Raw genomic sequence first — 16,781 nt, forward strand, 5'->3', positions numbered from 1 at the left:
GAGACTTTTGGGTTCACACAGGCAATCACTAGCCATTAAAGGGAATCTGTACTCAAATGGAAACCTATCTGCTGTCTCAGATCTAGAATGCCATCACAGACTCTTTAGAACGGACCTAAAGTATCACTTATTCTACCTACTTCATTTTACAGTTGAAGAAGCTAAAACTAAAAGGGGTCAGACAAATCTCCAAGGCTAGTTGAGGGGCTAATATCATAAGAGGGGGTTAAAATCAGATGTCTTGATAGCTAGCTTCAGGGTTCTTCTGTACACCAAGTTTCCTATCTTTTTTAAACACTCTCTAAGGGGGTTTAATTAAACAGCATATTCTCATGCCTCTTTCTACTATCATTCTCACTTGATGATTGTCAAGTGACAACATATAATAAATATATTTGACAATAAGCAAATACAACCAACAAGAATTTTAATCAAATATAAAGCAATAAGTATTCTCTTCTCACATGCAATTGTAATTCTGCACCAGAATAATTTAATCTAAATACAAGATAAACAAATCCCTAAGGTGAGTCAGCTGCTTATGGGTACAGTGCAAAGTCCCCACTCATAAATCCCCAGACAAAGAGTGGTCCCAGTCTTGGCCATGTTTGAAACTAGTTAACCCAGTTAACAAAGTTTCATACTTAACACAGGACTATTTCAGTCTAGGAGAAAAAGGACAGATTTGCTCAAAGACTGTGATACTCCTAACATCAGTGTGAATTAAAGAGGAGGTAAGTACCATATTACTTTTCACAACGTACGGATGAAGAAACAAGAATGCCAACATTTAATATAATCAATCCAAGTCAGTAGTAGAACCAGGAAGGAAGCCCAGGTTTCCTGGCAGTCCAGCTAGTTCTCTTTTACTTGAGAACATTATAAACTGATTTGCAGTGGAAACAAGACTGCCTGTTTTCTTCTAAGCTGTGCCTAAGGCAATTTCAAGATTCCACTCAATGGAAGGGAACTTCCAGCTCAAATGTCCTACTCATCCCAAAATGCAAGGAAATTACTTTGATCTCTCTTTCAGGTTCCTACCCTTCCTTTGCTGGGAAGGAGTAAAAGCTTGCAATGGGAACTTCATCAAAAGTTACATGTTCAAGAGCGTCCTTTTTTACATAGATATGCCAAAACAATGTTTAGAAATCCTTCAAATAAATTGGTTAGGGGCCGGGCAAAGCAGCTCTTGCCTGTAATCCCAGCGCTTTAGGAGGCTGAGGTGGGAGGATGGCTTGAGGCCAGGAGTTGGAGACCAGCCTGGGCAACACAGTGAAACCACCATTTGTTTAAAAAATAAAAATAAACATAAAAATAAATTAGCCAGTCATGGTGTTGAGTGCCTGTAATCCCAACTGCTTGGGAGGCGGAAGCAGGAGGATTGCTTGAGCCCAGGAATTCGAAGCTGCCGTGAGCTATGATCCTGCCACAGCACTCCAGCCTGGGGGTCAGACTGAGACCCATCTCTAAAAAAAACAAAAAGCTTTTTTTTTTTTAAAAAAAATCAATTAGTAGAATTTCCATTCCAGCTCTATACCATCCCTTCAAGGCTACCTATTCCCCTCCATGTCCCAAATATTCAAATATTCTAGGAATAAACTTGCTTATGTCAGGTCCCTACCATTATATTATTTATCAAGGAGAAAGAGAAATCTCTATTATTACCACTCTAATCTCAAAAAATTAACGTAAAAACATAGATTTTATCAATCATCAAAATCATTAAAATTTATTTAATCTTAGAAACCCTTCAAAAAAATCTTGAAAATGGAAAAATCAAATCAGAATGGCTGAAATGATCCCAGGGCATAGATGGATGTGTAAAATGAAATTTTTAATCTTATAAATCCTGTTATCATTTCTTTTCATTGCAGAAGTCAGTGATTAAAAAACAAACAAATAAAACCGTCCCCAAACTTCAGAGCTTTTATCTGCCACCACTAATGTTTCTACATAATTTTTTGGGGTGTTTCATAGTGTTCATTACTATAAGGACACTCTTAAAAAATTAGAATACTCATGTGACAATAACGTGTTTAGCAAATTACATCGTAAAGGCATCTAGAGAAGACTATAAATTCATTACTCTAAGAAATCCTAGGAAAATAAATAAATAGATTAATAAATAAATAGTTTTGGGAAAAGCAAAGAAGCAATCAAGATGCCTTTCCCAAACCCTGATTTTAAAACCAGAGCTTCAGGATCCCCTTTCTCCTTGTGTTACATACCTATTTCACCTGCTTGTTCCACAGCATTTTATATAGAAACTCCTTGCTAATAGGACATCCCTAATGATTGGAATCCATGTTTAAAAAATGGTGAATAAAAACGTTTCTTGATTCTTAAAATTTTACAGTGTCCTTTGCTCAAATATTAGAAATACCGTACATACAATCTAGCTGAAAACGGTCACAGTTTTCCAAGGGCTTTAAACCCAAACGTCACGCTCTAGCCATCATTGGGAAAGCTTGGGAAAAAAAAATAAGGCCATTTATGAACATACTCACTCTCGAGCTGCTTCTGTTTGCATGACCAGGGCTGCCTTTTTGGGGTTTTCTGGGGACTTCAGTCCTTGAGTGTTCTGCTTGTATTTTTTAATTAAATCCATCAGAACAGCCTGGTGCCCAATTTTCTTTACCAGTTGCTGAACCATCCGATCATTAAGTGCAAGAAGAGCGGCCCCACTTACTTCTTCCTCTGGGAAAAAGAAAAAAAATTAGTTTCTACATGACTTTCCGGCAAAACACAGGCATTCTGAAGAGGCAAAATTACCTCTAGTGATAAAAGGATCATCTAAACTTGTCCCCTGACATTATAAATTTATCCATATTTTTGACAAAGATAAAACTCCAATGTTGCATAATTCCAAATCAATGCCTGCTCCTAAGAAAGTACCAGAACATGGAATCACAATAAAAACTTATTATTTCTACATTAACACCCTTCTCATTCTAATTCTCTCTAACTGGTATTGTTTTTATAAGGAAAAAAAACTTAGGAAATTATTCTTCGTAATAGCTCCTAGCCAGTATTCAACTTTATAAACCCAACACTACACAAAATACATACTGTATTACTTAAGAACAAAAGCAATATTAAATGCATATATCAAATATGTATTTTAAGTGACCCGTAAGACTTTTTTATTTGAGTTCTTAAAATATTATATTCTCTTGTGGATGTTACTTTCAAGTGGAAACTCTGCTACAGTCCATAAAGAAATGAAAAGTTCTCTACTGCAGCAACCCCACATCCACATTGACATGCACACAGACATTTGGCAACAAAAGTAATTTTCAGTAACAGAGGACACCAGAATATCTAGGCTGCTCAATTAAAATTTTTGGAAAGCATAAACAACTCACCTTGAAATCTATGAACTAGCTCTCCTAAATTTTTCTCCACCAACCAACTGCAGACCTGCTCAACTGACCAGGTTTCCATTGCTGTCTCCTGTAAATACACCTGTAGAGCAAAAGGTCAGAGAATTCTCCAGCTTTTCTTTCTGATTGTGCCTTAATTTTTTTTTTAACAGTCAGCCGCTTCCTTTGCTAGACTCCTTTATCTTCTCAATGTTAAGCTTTTTTAAAATTACTATTTTTACAATGTACATTTAAAAATTGCTAACAAAACACACACTCACTTTAAAAATAAGACCTGATTTAAACCTATTTCCTAGCATCCCATTTCTCAAATTTCTTCACCTTCTCCTACTTTTTTTCCACAGGCATCTCTAAGCTTTACTAACAGACAGCCAGGGACATACAATGGTACCCAATCCTGTACCATTAACACCCAGGTTTCTTCACAAAGAAAAGAAAGGTGTGAAATTCACCACTACCAGGCTCCTCAGGAAGTGGTTGACATTTACAGAAGGGGTGGGCAGGAGAGGAAGGGAGGAAGGATCAGATAAAAGCCTGACAGAGATACTTAGTAAACTGGTTAACCCCTTAGTAGACTGGTTAACCCCTTGCTTCTCCTGGCTAGGAGAAGGAGATTGTAACTTGCTGCTTCTCATTGTTTTCCGTTAGCAAGAAGAGGAAGTAGGACCCACATTTCTCTGGAGAATCTGAATGTTTCTGTCCTTCCTTCCAATACTATTCTTACATACCCCTCTGAGTTCTAGAACTTTTTTGGACACTGTTATGATTGGTAAGATAACTAGGATAAACTACCACACTGACTGAAAACTTTTTACTTAATTGGGCAGATTCAAAATTGGAAAGTAATTATTTATGTTAATAATTATCGTGAAAGAAGCGTAGGCAAGTTTGCAAGATATATTCTTTAACTATTTCAGTTATTTTTGTATGCCACTTGTCTGCAACCACTTAGAAAACTTAAAACTATTTCCCTAAGGAAGCTTATTCCTTGTTTTTGTAATTCAATCCAAAGGACCTCTGATGGACTTGGAGAGGGGTGGGGTGGAGGGGGGGATTGAAATAAATTTAAAACGTTTTAACCTTTTATCTTTACTTGGCAATTTCAAATCTTAATCTAAATGATATAGATTTACTTGCAAATTAAGATACTGACTATTCTGTAAAGACCAAGGAAAAAGCTACTCTTGGAGAAATGGAATCATAAGGAAAGATTAAAATGGTTATCAGTCGTGAATTTAAATTTTATTGATGGAAGTTTTAAATGGAACTATTGTTGTATTTCTCATTTTTGTATATTTAAAGAAGTTACAATTACCAACATCATAGTTAGAATAGTGGAAAAGGGGAAACATGTTTACCTTGCATATGTGACAAGCTGGAAAGATAGTCTTCAAGAATCATTTCCTAGAAAACAAGTAGACTTCAAAGTATTAAGCCCCATAATCATAAGTGTTCACAAACACCAACTTGAAAAATTGAAAACAAGGGTTAAATATAGAAGAACATCTTTCTGAATTTCAGCAGTGGATTTAATTTGCTATGACAAACAGTAGCCACAGAACCCCTCCCCTAGGCTAAGCAGCAATAGCAGGGTGTGAAAAGTCATTATTTGCGAGACTCTGGTGTAAATTAAAAATCACACCTTTCTATCACACTTCTGGCTTCCTTGCGAAGATTAGGACTTAGGGAAAAAATAGAAAATAGAGAAAAAATAAAAGAATTCTCTAAACTCGAAGATAAAAAGGTAAGCAGAGCAGAAGATACTGCCTTGTAGTCATCGATGGATAAAAGGAAATTTGAAAATAAAATGAGTACTTGGAAATGATCATGTATTTTTAAATTTGCAGATTTTTACCACAATTCTACTTCTGGGAAAAACAAAACAGGTTAAATTATAACATCATACAAACATAATAAAATAAAAAAGCATATAGTTTTTGCCTAGTAGCTTTTCTGGAGAGTTAATAAAACAATATCACTGGCTAGACAACGTAACATCTTTGAGTAGTAACTTTACAACTTCTTCTCACATAAATAATGGATATATTATTTATGATCTTCTACACCATGAAGGCATAAACTATATATCAAATGAGAAAAGATATATCTGGTAGCTTTATTCTGAGCTTCAGAAACATACGAAAATATTTCAAAATGTGAAGGCAAGCATTATCTCTAAATAGTTGAATAGTGGTATCATTTTTAAGAAGAATTAATAATACATTATGTATGAATGCTCCTGACAAACCATTATCATTATTTGATTGAATTATAAATCAAGAAAATAAATTTGTATTAAATATTAAAGGGCTTCATTTAACTAAAGCCAAGAAGAGGTAAGACTTCAGCTAAAGCAGCCTAAATATGGGCAAGCTTTATTTAATAAATTTGTTAAAACTACAAAGGAAGATAATAGGGTCACCTGCTGTGAACGTGATTTATAATCTTCAAGGGACAATCTAACATATAAAACATCATATAAAACATACAAAACATTCGACCACAAAAGAGCACTTTTTAAGAAAATATGAAAACTTTTTGTCATCTTTCTTTCTATTTGCATTTTTCGCTTTATTCCTCTGAAGTCCAAAAGCTGAGACAACAAAAGATTCCTAAAAGTTTTGCTGGCGGCATATGCCCACTCCTGGATCAATACCTCATTCTGCCCTGAGAAAAAGTATCTCCTACCGTGGCTGAACTTGAAGGGACAAACAATTTATCACAAATCAGTTCCAGGCCTGGCGTGTAAAAAAGAAGGAAAATTGAGGTACAAAAATAAGGATGTGGCTGTCACATGAAACAATGTCTGGGCAATTCTCTTGGGTAGCAGCCTCGCTACCATGGGAGGTGATAGTGTTGTAGGACTCTCTCTTTAGTTCAGCTAAGAGCTGGGTTCTTGTCACACTGCCATGAAATATTAGGCTCACAGACACTTTGAAGGGTCAGAAGAATGGAATTTATTGGGCAAAAAGGAAAGAAAGGGGAAACAGTGGCTCTCAGCAGAGCGAGGGTCCTGCTAGTATATGCTTCTCGCCTCACAGATTGAATTCCAAGTTCCCACACCAGAATAAGAAGGGCCAGTTCCTCCTCGCTGCAAACCGTGTGAACTTCCGTGGCTCCACCCCATTCTCTCAGTGCGCAGGCTGTCGGAGGCTCTCCGGGGACCTGTTTATACTCAGGTGTCTCAATAGCAGCATGGTGTTCCAATGGAACATAACATCTCATCCACTATGGCCTGATGATATTCTTCCAACCATCACCAGACCACATGAAATAAAAACTGAAATATTCAACTCAAATAATTTGCAGATGTTAGTCACCAAGACGTTTACTGCCTAGATAGATAGCCCAAAGTGGGGTGGATGATGATATACTAAAGAAGTTAGAAGCCTTACTAAGAAGATAAGATACATAGATAAGCAGAATATGATATACAGCCAATCATGGTGGATGCTTTAGAAAGCACTCTGGGGCTGGATTTTCCCACAGTGTCCTGGAAGCGAATGGATCTTGATTTGGAATCTAAATAATGGACATAGTTTAGATAGCAAAGAAGCTGGAGAAAGCAGGATCAATATAATGAACTCAAAGTAAAAAAAACCAGAAAAAAACGAGTCATGTTTTGGAACCTCAGGGAGGACCGTGCTGCTTGGAATAGGAACCACATGGTAGGCAACCACAGGAGACAGGGTCTGAAGATCGCAGAAAGGCTTAGAATGTTAAGAGTTTATAGATATGCTTAAGCTTGGGAGAGTCATTGAACTGAGAGTATGTTCCATGCTTTGGAAAGATTATTTAGGCAGCTGAGTCAAATAAATGACAGAAAAGCATTCTTTCTTGAAGCAAATTGTGTATGAGATGGAAGGGCTTAGCCTTTACTAAACATCCATATGTGCACCAGTTTTCCTTCGTTTTAGGAAACATAGATATTTATATTAATCTTTTAAACATTTAAGGAACAAAACTATTAATTTTTTTCATACATCACGGTCTGAAAGGGAGTGACATCTACAAAGCTAGCAGACAGCAAACAGGTGAAACACACCAAAAGGGGCTGTCTCTATACGTTATGCTAAACGATATGAAACAGCCATTTTTTTTAAATTACAGGGATTTATTTTTTTTTAATTTTTATTTTCATAGGTTATTGGGGAACAAGTGGTGTTTGGTTACCTGCATAAGTTCTTTAGTGGTGATTTGTGAGATTTTGGTGCACACATCACTGGAGCACACATTACTGCACCCAATTTGTAGTCTTTTATCTCTCACCCTTTTCCCCACTTTTTCCCGAGTCCTCAAAGTCCATTGTGTCATTCCTATGCCTTTTCATCCTCATAGCTTAGCTCCCACTTATGAATGAGAACATATGATATTTGGTTTTCCATTCCTGAGTCACTTCATTTAGAATAATAGTCTCCAATCTCATCCAGGTCACTGCGAATGCCATTAATTCATTCCTTTTTATGGTTGAGTAGTATTCTATCGTATATATACCACAGTTTCTTTATCCACTTGTTGATTGATGGGGTTTGGGGTTGGTTCCACATTTTTGCAATTGAGAATTGTGCTGAAACAGCCGTTTTTGCACATACAAGAATTCAAGATCAGTAATTTCCTATGGCTTAAGTTATTAAAATCTTACTTTTATAAAAATTAGTGTCTCCATTGGTTCTTTTTATCTAGCAAGACTTATCAGAGTTGTCTGTAATTCACAACACCTCCAATAAATTTGAAGGAAAAAGTGGTGAGCACAGTCATAGTAACTTAAATTTCATATGTTTACATTTTTTTCTTTTTCTATTTTTTTGAGATGGAGTCTCGCTCTGTCATCCAGACTGGAGTGCAGTGGCACTATCTCGGCTCATTGCAACCTCCACCTCCCGGATTCAAGCCATTCTTTTGCCTCAGCCTCCTGAGTAGCTGGGATTACAGACGCGTGCCACCATGCCAGGCTAATTTTTGTATATTTAGTGGAAATGGGGTTTCACCATGTTGGCCAGGTTGGTCTCGAACTGCTGAGCTTGTGATCCACCTGCCTCGGCCCCCCAGAGTGCTGGGATTACAGGTGTGAGCCACTAGCCTGGCCAATTTTTACATTTTCAAAGAAACTAAAGAGCCACTTATCTGGGAGGTTTAGTTAAATTAATGAACAAAAATAGCAATGAGCCAGAGTCCCAGAACTTTGGAACTTTTGAGTCACAAACACCCTAGTGTTTTGGCCTTTGAGTCAAACTTATGGTTTATCCCTGCTTCTGCCTCGTTGACAGCCAAAGCTTATGGTTCAGCAACACAGATTACAGTCCTGCCAGAGATGGTAACTGTGAACTGTGCTATTGAATTTTATGAAAAGCTGGATGTGTGACTGAGAAGTCTTGATAGTTTGAAGATGTCATTTCCCTCAGAATTAATTTATAAATTCCAATTAATATACATACGTGGTTATATGTTTTACTTACTATGAGGCTAGTTTTCATGTGGAAGAATAAATAGGTAAAAAGAACGAAAAATGCTTGACAAAAGGACTTGCACTTCCAGATGTTAAAAAATGTTATGCTATTAACAGCATGGTACTGGAGGAAAAGAGAACAGATATTGAAACAGAATAGAAACTTAGAAACAGAAACATTCATATGGAAGTACTGAAAATATCTTTTTTTTTTTTTGACAGTCTCGCTCTGTTGCCCAGGCTGGAGTGCAGTGGCACGATCTCGGCTCACTGCAAGCTCCGCCTCCCGGGTTCATGCCATTCTCCTGCCTCAACCTCCCGAGTAGCTGGGACTACGGGTGCCCACCACCACGCCCAGCTAATTTTTTTGTGTTTTTAGTAGAGACGGGGTTTCACTGTGTTAGCCAGGATGGTCTCGATCTCCTGACCTTGTGATCTGCCCACCTTGGCCTCCCAAAGTGCTGGGATTACAGGCATGAGCCACCACGCCCAGCCAGTGAAAAGATCTTTAAAATTGGTGACAAAGAAGGGATTAGTCAATATATTTTGTTGGGATAATGCCTCATAACACCTACACAATAAATTCCTCAGATAAGTTAAATATGTAAATATGAAAAATTAAAAAGAGTTTAAAATAATCTAAGATTACATAATAAAAATAAAATATTGATAGATTTGACTAAAAAGGAAAAACGCATGTGTACACATATATATCACAGTGGACCCTTGAACGACACAGGGGTTGGGACGCTGACTCTGCTATGCAGTTGAAAATTTGCAAGTAACTTTTGACTACCCCCAAACTTAACTACTAATAGCCTACTATTGATCAGAATCTTAACTGATAACATAGACAATTAACACATATTTTGTATGTTATATATATTATATACAGTACTGTTACAATAAAATGAGTTAGAGGAAAGAAAATGTTATTAAGCAAATAACAAGGAAGAGAAAACATTTACTATTTATTACATGGAAGTGGATCATCATAAAGATCTTCATACTCGTCGTCTTGCAGTGAGTAGGCTGAGGAGGAGGAGGAGGAAGAGGAGAGTTGGTCTTGCTGTCTCAGGGGTGGCAGAGGCAGAAGAAAATCTGCATGTAAGTGGACCTGAGAGGTTCCAACACATGTTGTTCAAGGGTCAACTCTATAATCCATAAAACCAACTAAAAAATTAATACACCAATAGAAAAAAATAGGAATAGGTAACTCTTGAACAAAATTTTAAACCAGTATCTGAAAAATCTACATTATTTGTAATAAAAATAATTAAATACCATCTTCATTTATTCCATTGGAAAAGGTGAAAATTAGCAAGAATGCAAGGTCAGTTGTTCTCTTACACACTGCTAAGGGGAGTATAAAGTGGCACAACTTGCCCTGTCATATTATTCCCATTTTATAATTGAAAGTCCTGGAGTTTACAGGGTAACTCGCCTAAGGTTCCTTTGCTTGTAAAGGTAAAAGTGATTTGAATCCAATCTATCCAACTTTAAAGGGTACTAATGCAAGCCAAAAACATTAAAAATATTTCTACATTCTGACCCCAAAATAGCATTTCTAAGAATGTGCCTAAAGACATTAACAGAAATGAACACAAAGATGTGTGCCATAGCAATGGTCCGAATAGCAAATAAATTGGACAGATAAAATTTCCAGCAATAGGAATTGGCCAATGAATTACAGTAATTTATATTTAAAATAAAATACTATGTAGTAATCAAAAATTGTATCTAGACAAATAACTATGTAGAGAGAAACAGTCATGGATATGGTTAACTGCAAATAAATTTAAAATAGTATGATTCAGATTTGTGGAAAGAATAAAATAAAAGTAGAATGAAATGCTTGGTTACACAAAGGCTGGGAAAGCATATACTAGAAGGCAGAAGTGGCAATCTCTGTTTGGAGGAATTAATGTTTTTTGTTTGTAATCTGCCACTCTTAAATTTTTCTCAATGAAAGAATTTTATCTTAATATCAGAAAAGTTAGAGTTTTATAGAGAAAAGGTAAAAAGTGATATTTACGGATTATTGCTGGAGAGGCTTTTGGTCCATCTCTTCCAGAAGAGAAGATCAAAGGAGAGAGCACCCCTCCTCCCCAGGCAAATCCGATCAGTGGATGTGGTTCTGGTTCCTTTGTTTTATCTGAAAAATGGAAGATATCACCTACAAATCTGGAATCTTGGTTTCTCTTGAAAAATCAAAAGTTCTGGTGATACTGGGTTCATATTTCTGAATGGCAGCAACTGAGCAGTGGCTGCCCCATTGAAAGACAGCAAGACTGGGAGCCTCACAGTACACAGGAAGCATAAGGTAAGTTTGAAACAGGGTGGATCTCAGACAGCTAACGTTTGCACCTCTCAAAGGAAGAAGATTCTGACAAGTGTGACAAATACCCATGTATGTACATACATGTTTACCATAATATATCTTTGGAACATTTAATTCTTCCTTAGTTACCTTTTTTAAGCTCCTAGAAGAAATAACACTAACTAGAAAAAAAATTTCCTATATCAATCTTAAGGCAGATATAATAATAATGTATTAGAATTTAGACATTGAATTCAAAGTCAAGGACTCAAAGCTTTGCATCTCAGAAGGTTCTAGTGTCTTGAGGCTTCATTTTCTTTGTAGCTACATCATTGAACTAAAATGCACAAACCTTTATTTAGCAGACATTGGCTGAATGTAATTCTCGTTACATAGCTCAGTGTGTACGTGATAGTGCAGGTGATAGCTGAACATTTTATAGCTCTGAGTAGTGGCAAGAACTTACATTATTAAAATATTACAACTATTTTTTTGGAGTTACTCATTTGTTAGAACACATGAAAGGTGACTTCTGTATCCACCTATATTGCTCAGCTGGTAGAGTCAAGCTGGGCTCTCTTGATCTGTTAACACTAAGTGCTGGTCTGACTTTGTAGGCCTCTTCAGGAAGAAGGGGATGCAAGGTAGTGGATCTTCTTAATGCAGTGTGACTCAAAGTGAAACTTGGAAACACCCTTGCAGGGCGTGCGATGGGTGTGACTCGCTTCTTCAGTACCCTGCAGCTCAAACCCCTAGAGGGAGCATGCAGACGGGCAGGTCATGGGGAGCATGGGCTCCTACCCCATGGCAGCACCTAGGGTTGAGTGTTTACAGCTCCAGAAGCCCCAGTGGGAGTGTGTTACAGTGCAGTCTTTCAGCTTAGCCATCCGCAGGTGGCTTGTGTTAATCAGCTCAATTAGATCCTCTGCCTTATCGCAAGGACAGAGGGCTTTCTGTATCCCAAGGTTCTTGCCTTAATGTACCAGAAAAATTGAATCACATGTAGGCTTGGAGAATGGGTGCACAGTTTTATTGACTGGTGGAAGTAGCTCTCAGCAGATGGATGGGATCCACAAGGGGAATGGAATGGGAAGGCGGTCTTCCCCTGGAGTCAGGCCGCTCAGTGGCCTGACTCTCCTCCAACCACCCCCAGGCAAATTCTACGTGGTCCACATCATACTGCTGTTGATGTCCTGCCAGTCTGTCAGTGTATTCTGCCAGTGTGTTCCTCTTGATGTCCAGCCGCTTGTGTCTGTGCCCGCTAGGGTCTCAGGGTTTTTATAGGCAGAGGATGGGGGTGTGGCGGGCCAGAGTGCTTTTGGAAAATGCAACATTTGGGCGTGAAAACAGGAGTGCCTGTTCTCACTTACGTCCATGGGTACAGGCCTGAGGGTGGAGCCCTAGCCAGGGACCCCATTCTTCTCTACCCAGCACTTCCCTGCCCGCCTCCCGTATCAAAAGCAAAGCACAGATGGGAGGTGTGGAGACACAAAAAGGCATAGGACCCTGTGTTTCTCATGAGTGACAAATGCTCATGCTTCTGCCAGCCCTAGGTTCATGTGAGGACGGGCCAGAATGTTCAAACTTTTGTTTATGCAAAAGCACTCTATTTATTTATTATTATTATTATTATTATTATTATTATTATTATTATTTTTGAGATGGAGTCTCCCTTTGTCACCCAGGCTGGAGTGTAATGGCACGATCTCAGCTCACTGCAACTTCCACCTCCTGGGTTTAAGCGATTCTCCTGCCTCAGCCTCCTGAGTATCTGGGACTACAGGCACGTGCCACCACGCCCAGCTAAGTTTTTGTATTTTTAGTAGAGATGGGGTTTCACTGTGTTAGCCAGGATGATCTCGATCTCCTGACCTCATGAACCGCCTGCCTCGGCCTCCTAAAGTGCTGAGATTACAGGCATGAGTCACCACGCCCAGCCCGAAGCACTCTTTTTAGAGTTGGCCCAAAAGGTAAAATTCATACCAATTGGTAGGCTATAGTCCATCATTAAATATGAGTCTGTGTGTCTGAATTTGTGTGTATGTGTGTGTGTTAGAGAGAGATAAAGAGAGACAGACAGAGACAGAGAGCAGTACTGAGCAAGAGAGTGAGTGAGCATGGGGAAGAAAGTAAGGAGGAGAGGAAAAGGTTATGTGAATGATTAACAAGTAAAAAATAATGTTACTGAAACACCAGGGGTTCAGTTTAGGTCCTGCTATTTGCTGCACAGAAAGCCAACGACTGAGACAACAAGTATTGCCAAGGAAGAAGGCTTTAATCAGGTGCTGCAGTCCAGGAAATGGGAGCTCAGTCTCAAATCCATCTTCCTGATCAACTAAAATTAGAGGTTTATATAGCGGGGAAGAAATGTTAAATATGTATGGGAAAACAAGAATGTGGAAGGAGTAAGGGAGCAATTACAATGAATGAGAGGCTGGTATCTCATTGTCTGGATCTGGTGAGTTTCAAGCTTTAAAACCAGAAGGATTAATTTCTATATTTAAGAAAAACTGTCTATGGGACTACTGGATCAGTTTCAGTAAGATAGGCATATTAGAAATAAAGACTGTAAGGATTATAATAGCACATAGCTTTCCTCTTTAGATTGTTCCAAGGTAAACTTATTTTTAAAAATCCTTACATTCCAATCTTAACTGCTGCCTACTCACTTCTACCATTCTTTGATTACATATGGGAACAAATGTGGCACACCAATATAAAGGTGAGAGTAGTTGGAAGAAGAGGAAAAATATTTATTCATATATTAGGTCATCCAAAAAGCTTAAGATATGAGAAAATTCAGTATTTCTATAACCAGGCCAAAAACTAACTTGTCATTTCAAACTCCTTGGCATTTGGAAGCTTGAAAAATGCTTGCCTGGGCACCTATTCCTGGTAAAGTGCTAAGGAGAGACGCCTAAGGAAATTGAGGGGTCAGCCTGATGTTGGCTTAATCCTGGCTCCATTGTCTTCTGATCACATCACCCTTCTTATCTAATTGATGTGATCACTTGTTGAGTTATCTCATCCAGTTATTCTCTTCCTGGTACAGTCTTCTATCCACTGTTGCAGAAGTATCTGCAGTAATTCAGGACAGCGCCGCTTTTCCCAGGAAGGGGTATTAGTGAAGCTGTCATTCTACCTTTCTGGAGAGCCTGATGGGCAGACTGGAGCTTGAGGTGTTATTGAAGGGTGCAGAGGTTGCTGCTGATCCCCTGTGTTTCTCTCTGTTGAACTCAGAATTCAGAATTTTATTTTTAAGAATGATTTTCCAACTTACCTAATATAAGAACAAGGGGTGTACTTCATGAAAATATTGATTCCTAAGCCCTTTCTTAGAAGATTCTGATTCAGGTGGGTAGAGTGAGTTCTTATAGTATTTCTAATCATTACCATTGATTCTTATGATCAGCCAAGTTTGAGGAGCAATTGAAAGATTTATTATGATTTATTTCCAATGTACAGAGCCCTATAGGTCAAAGTTAGCACACCATCCCCAAATGTCATTATGCACAAATTATACCTTTGAGAAATGTGTATAACACTTTATAAAAATAATTATGAGGGGCCGGGCACCATGGCTCACGCCTGTAATCCCAGCACTTTGGGAGGCCAAGGCGGGTGCATCACCTGAGGTCAGGAGTTCAAGACCAGCCTGGTCAACATGGTGAAACCCCGTCTCTACTAAAAATAAGCTGGGCATGGTGGCAGGCGCCTGTAATCCCAGCTACTGTCAGTGTAGCTTTTCTGTAGGCAGGAGAATCGCTTGAACCTGGGAAGCGGAGGTTGCAGTGAGCCGAGATCATGCCATTGCACTCCAGCCTGGGCGATAAGAGCGAAACTCTGTCTCAAAAAAAAAAATTATTTACATCACTGAAATTAAATTAGTAACATTGTGTTTACAAGGATTTTTCATAAAGCTAAGGATGTACAATAAATACAGTAATCTGATATTTTTTACATTTAAATAAATTGTGCAAAAATATACATAATGTAAAGTTTACCGTCTTAACCCTTTTTGAGGGTACAATTGAGTGACAATAAGTATATTCACATTATTGTGCAACCATCACTATTATCCATTTCCAGAACATTTTCATCATCCCCAAAATGAAACTCTGTACCCATGGAACAATAACTCCCATATTCACCCTGCAGCCCTAGTCCCTGATGACCATTATTTTGCTTTCTATCTCCATGAATTTGACTATTTTAGGTATGCCATATAAGTGGAATCATACAATATTTGTTTTTTTGTATCTGGATTATTTCTCTCAGTATAATGTTTTCAAGGTTCATTCATGTAGCTTGTGTGAGAATCGCCTTCATTTTTAAGGCTGAGTAATATTCCATTTGATGTATATACCATATTTTGTTTATCCATTCACTTGACAGTGGACATTTGGGCTTTTTCAATCTTTTGACTATTTTGAATAACGCTGATACGAACACAGGGGTGTGCAAATAGCTGCTCAAGTCTCTGCTTTAGTGGTCTGCTTTTGATAGTTCAAAAAATCAGAGGAATCTTGCCAGGCACGGTGGCTCATGCCTGTAATCCCAGAACTTTGAGAGGCCAAGGTGGGTGGATTGCTTGAGGCCAGGAGTTCAAGGCCAGTCTGGCCAACATGGTGAAACCTCGTCTCTACCAGAAATACAAACATTAGCCGGGCATGGTGGCATGTGCCTATAGTCCCAGCTACTTGAGAGGCTGAGGCAGGAGAATCGCTTGAACCTGGTAGGCAGAGGTTGCAGTGAGCCAAGATTGTGCCACCACACTCCAGCCTGTGCGACAAAAGCAAAACTCCATCTCAAAAAAAAAAAAAAGAAAAGAAAAATCAAAGGAATCATTCGACGTCCTCTGATTTCCTGCTGCAGCATTAGCAGACACGGAGACCTATGTGGATCTTCCACACCTGGTAAAATCCTCTCGTTTCCTAAATGGAAACGAGAGAATTTCAGAAAAGCCAAGTGATTTGCCCAAGGATGCACAGCTAATTGAATAAGGATACCCTTTTTAAGAAAAATCAGGTCCAGCAAAGCAAGTAAAACTAGTTACACTTAAGGATACCAGCCTATAAGGTATTTTCATCCTGATATAAACCAGAAGCCTATGCATAATGACAATTGTGTGTTTCCATCCTTGTATTCCCTGTGCTGAGCATTATAATATGATATACATGTTGTATATACAAAGCCAGATGGATATCTTAACAAAGAGTTCACAACTCCAGCATCTCAGCACAGTGGTGACCTCCAGTCTGTTGACAGGTTGTGAGAACTCGATTGTTCTCTTTGCTGCAGCTAGAGCTCCTTCCAGGTGTCCAGAGGCTTCAAGCAGCCTCACTTGTTTAACCCGTTGTGCATTAAAAATTGTTTTTTTTCTGCATGCCATGATGAACCTGAAAGTTCAAAAAGTGCAGGGCTGGGCTAACAAAATGGAATTTGGGAGAACCAGAAATGGACGGGCACAGGAATGGTTCGATTCTTACCTCTGGCTGCAAGTTAATCTCCAGGGGAGCTTAAAAAAAGCTGATATCCAGCTTCCATATCTGTCCAATTACATGAGCATTTCAAGAGGGTGGGTCATAGGTATTTTTTAAAGCTCTCCTCTGTGGTTCCAATGTGCAGTCAG

At 38.5% G+C, this 16,781-nt stretch overlaps 1 protein-coding gene across 12 annotated transcripts in view, besides 1 other annotated feature; it reads right to left on the reverse strand.

Moving 5' to 3' along the window:
• The window catches only part of SAMD3 (sterile alpha motif domain containing 3), a 223,117-nt gene that overhangs the window by 69,078 nt on the left and 137,258 nt on the right, over positions 1 to 16,781 (reverse strand). For 6 of the 12 annotated variants that reach the window (XR_001743174.3, XM_017010305.2, XM_024446333.2 and 3 more), the window contains exons 1-3: positions 3,644 to 3,809; positions 3,366 to 3,465; positions 2,508 to 2,697 (exon numbers count right to left, since the gene is read on the reverse strand). Coding sequence is in view for 11 of the 12 variants with exons in the window: in XM_017010305.2 (XP_016865794.1) it covers positions 2,508 to 2,697; positions 3,366 to 3,465; positions 3,644 to 3,682 (329 nt within the window). In the remaining variant the exon portion in view is untranslated. Of the gene's footprint in view, positions 1 to 2,507; positions 2,698 to 3,365; positions 3,466 to 3,643; positions 3,810 to 3,967; positions 4,059 to 4,741; positions 4,788 to 10,864; positions 11,123 to 16,781 lie in introns of those variants that run through there. The other 6 variants (XM_024446335.2, NM_001258275.3, NM_001017373.4 and 3 more) reach the window with 5 other exon arrangements.
• Positions 11,729 to 11,838: an enhancer, noted in NCBI's record as "active region_25057". NCBI's record gives its function as "activates an Ori minimal core promoter by ATAC-STARR-seq in GM12878 lymphoblastoid cells {active_cell/tissue: GM12878}" and the evidence as "EXISTENCE:reporter gene assay evidence [ECO:0000049][PMID:35858748]".

Source organism: Homo sapiens, chromosome 6, assembly GCF_000001405.40.
Source record: "Homo sapiens chromosome 6, GRCh38.p14 Primary Assembly".
Taxonomy (NCBI): domain Eukaryota; kingdom Metazoa; phylum Chordata; class Mammalia; order Primates; family Hominidae; genus Homo; species Homo sapiens.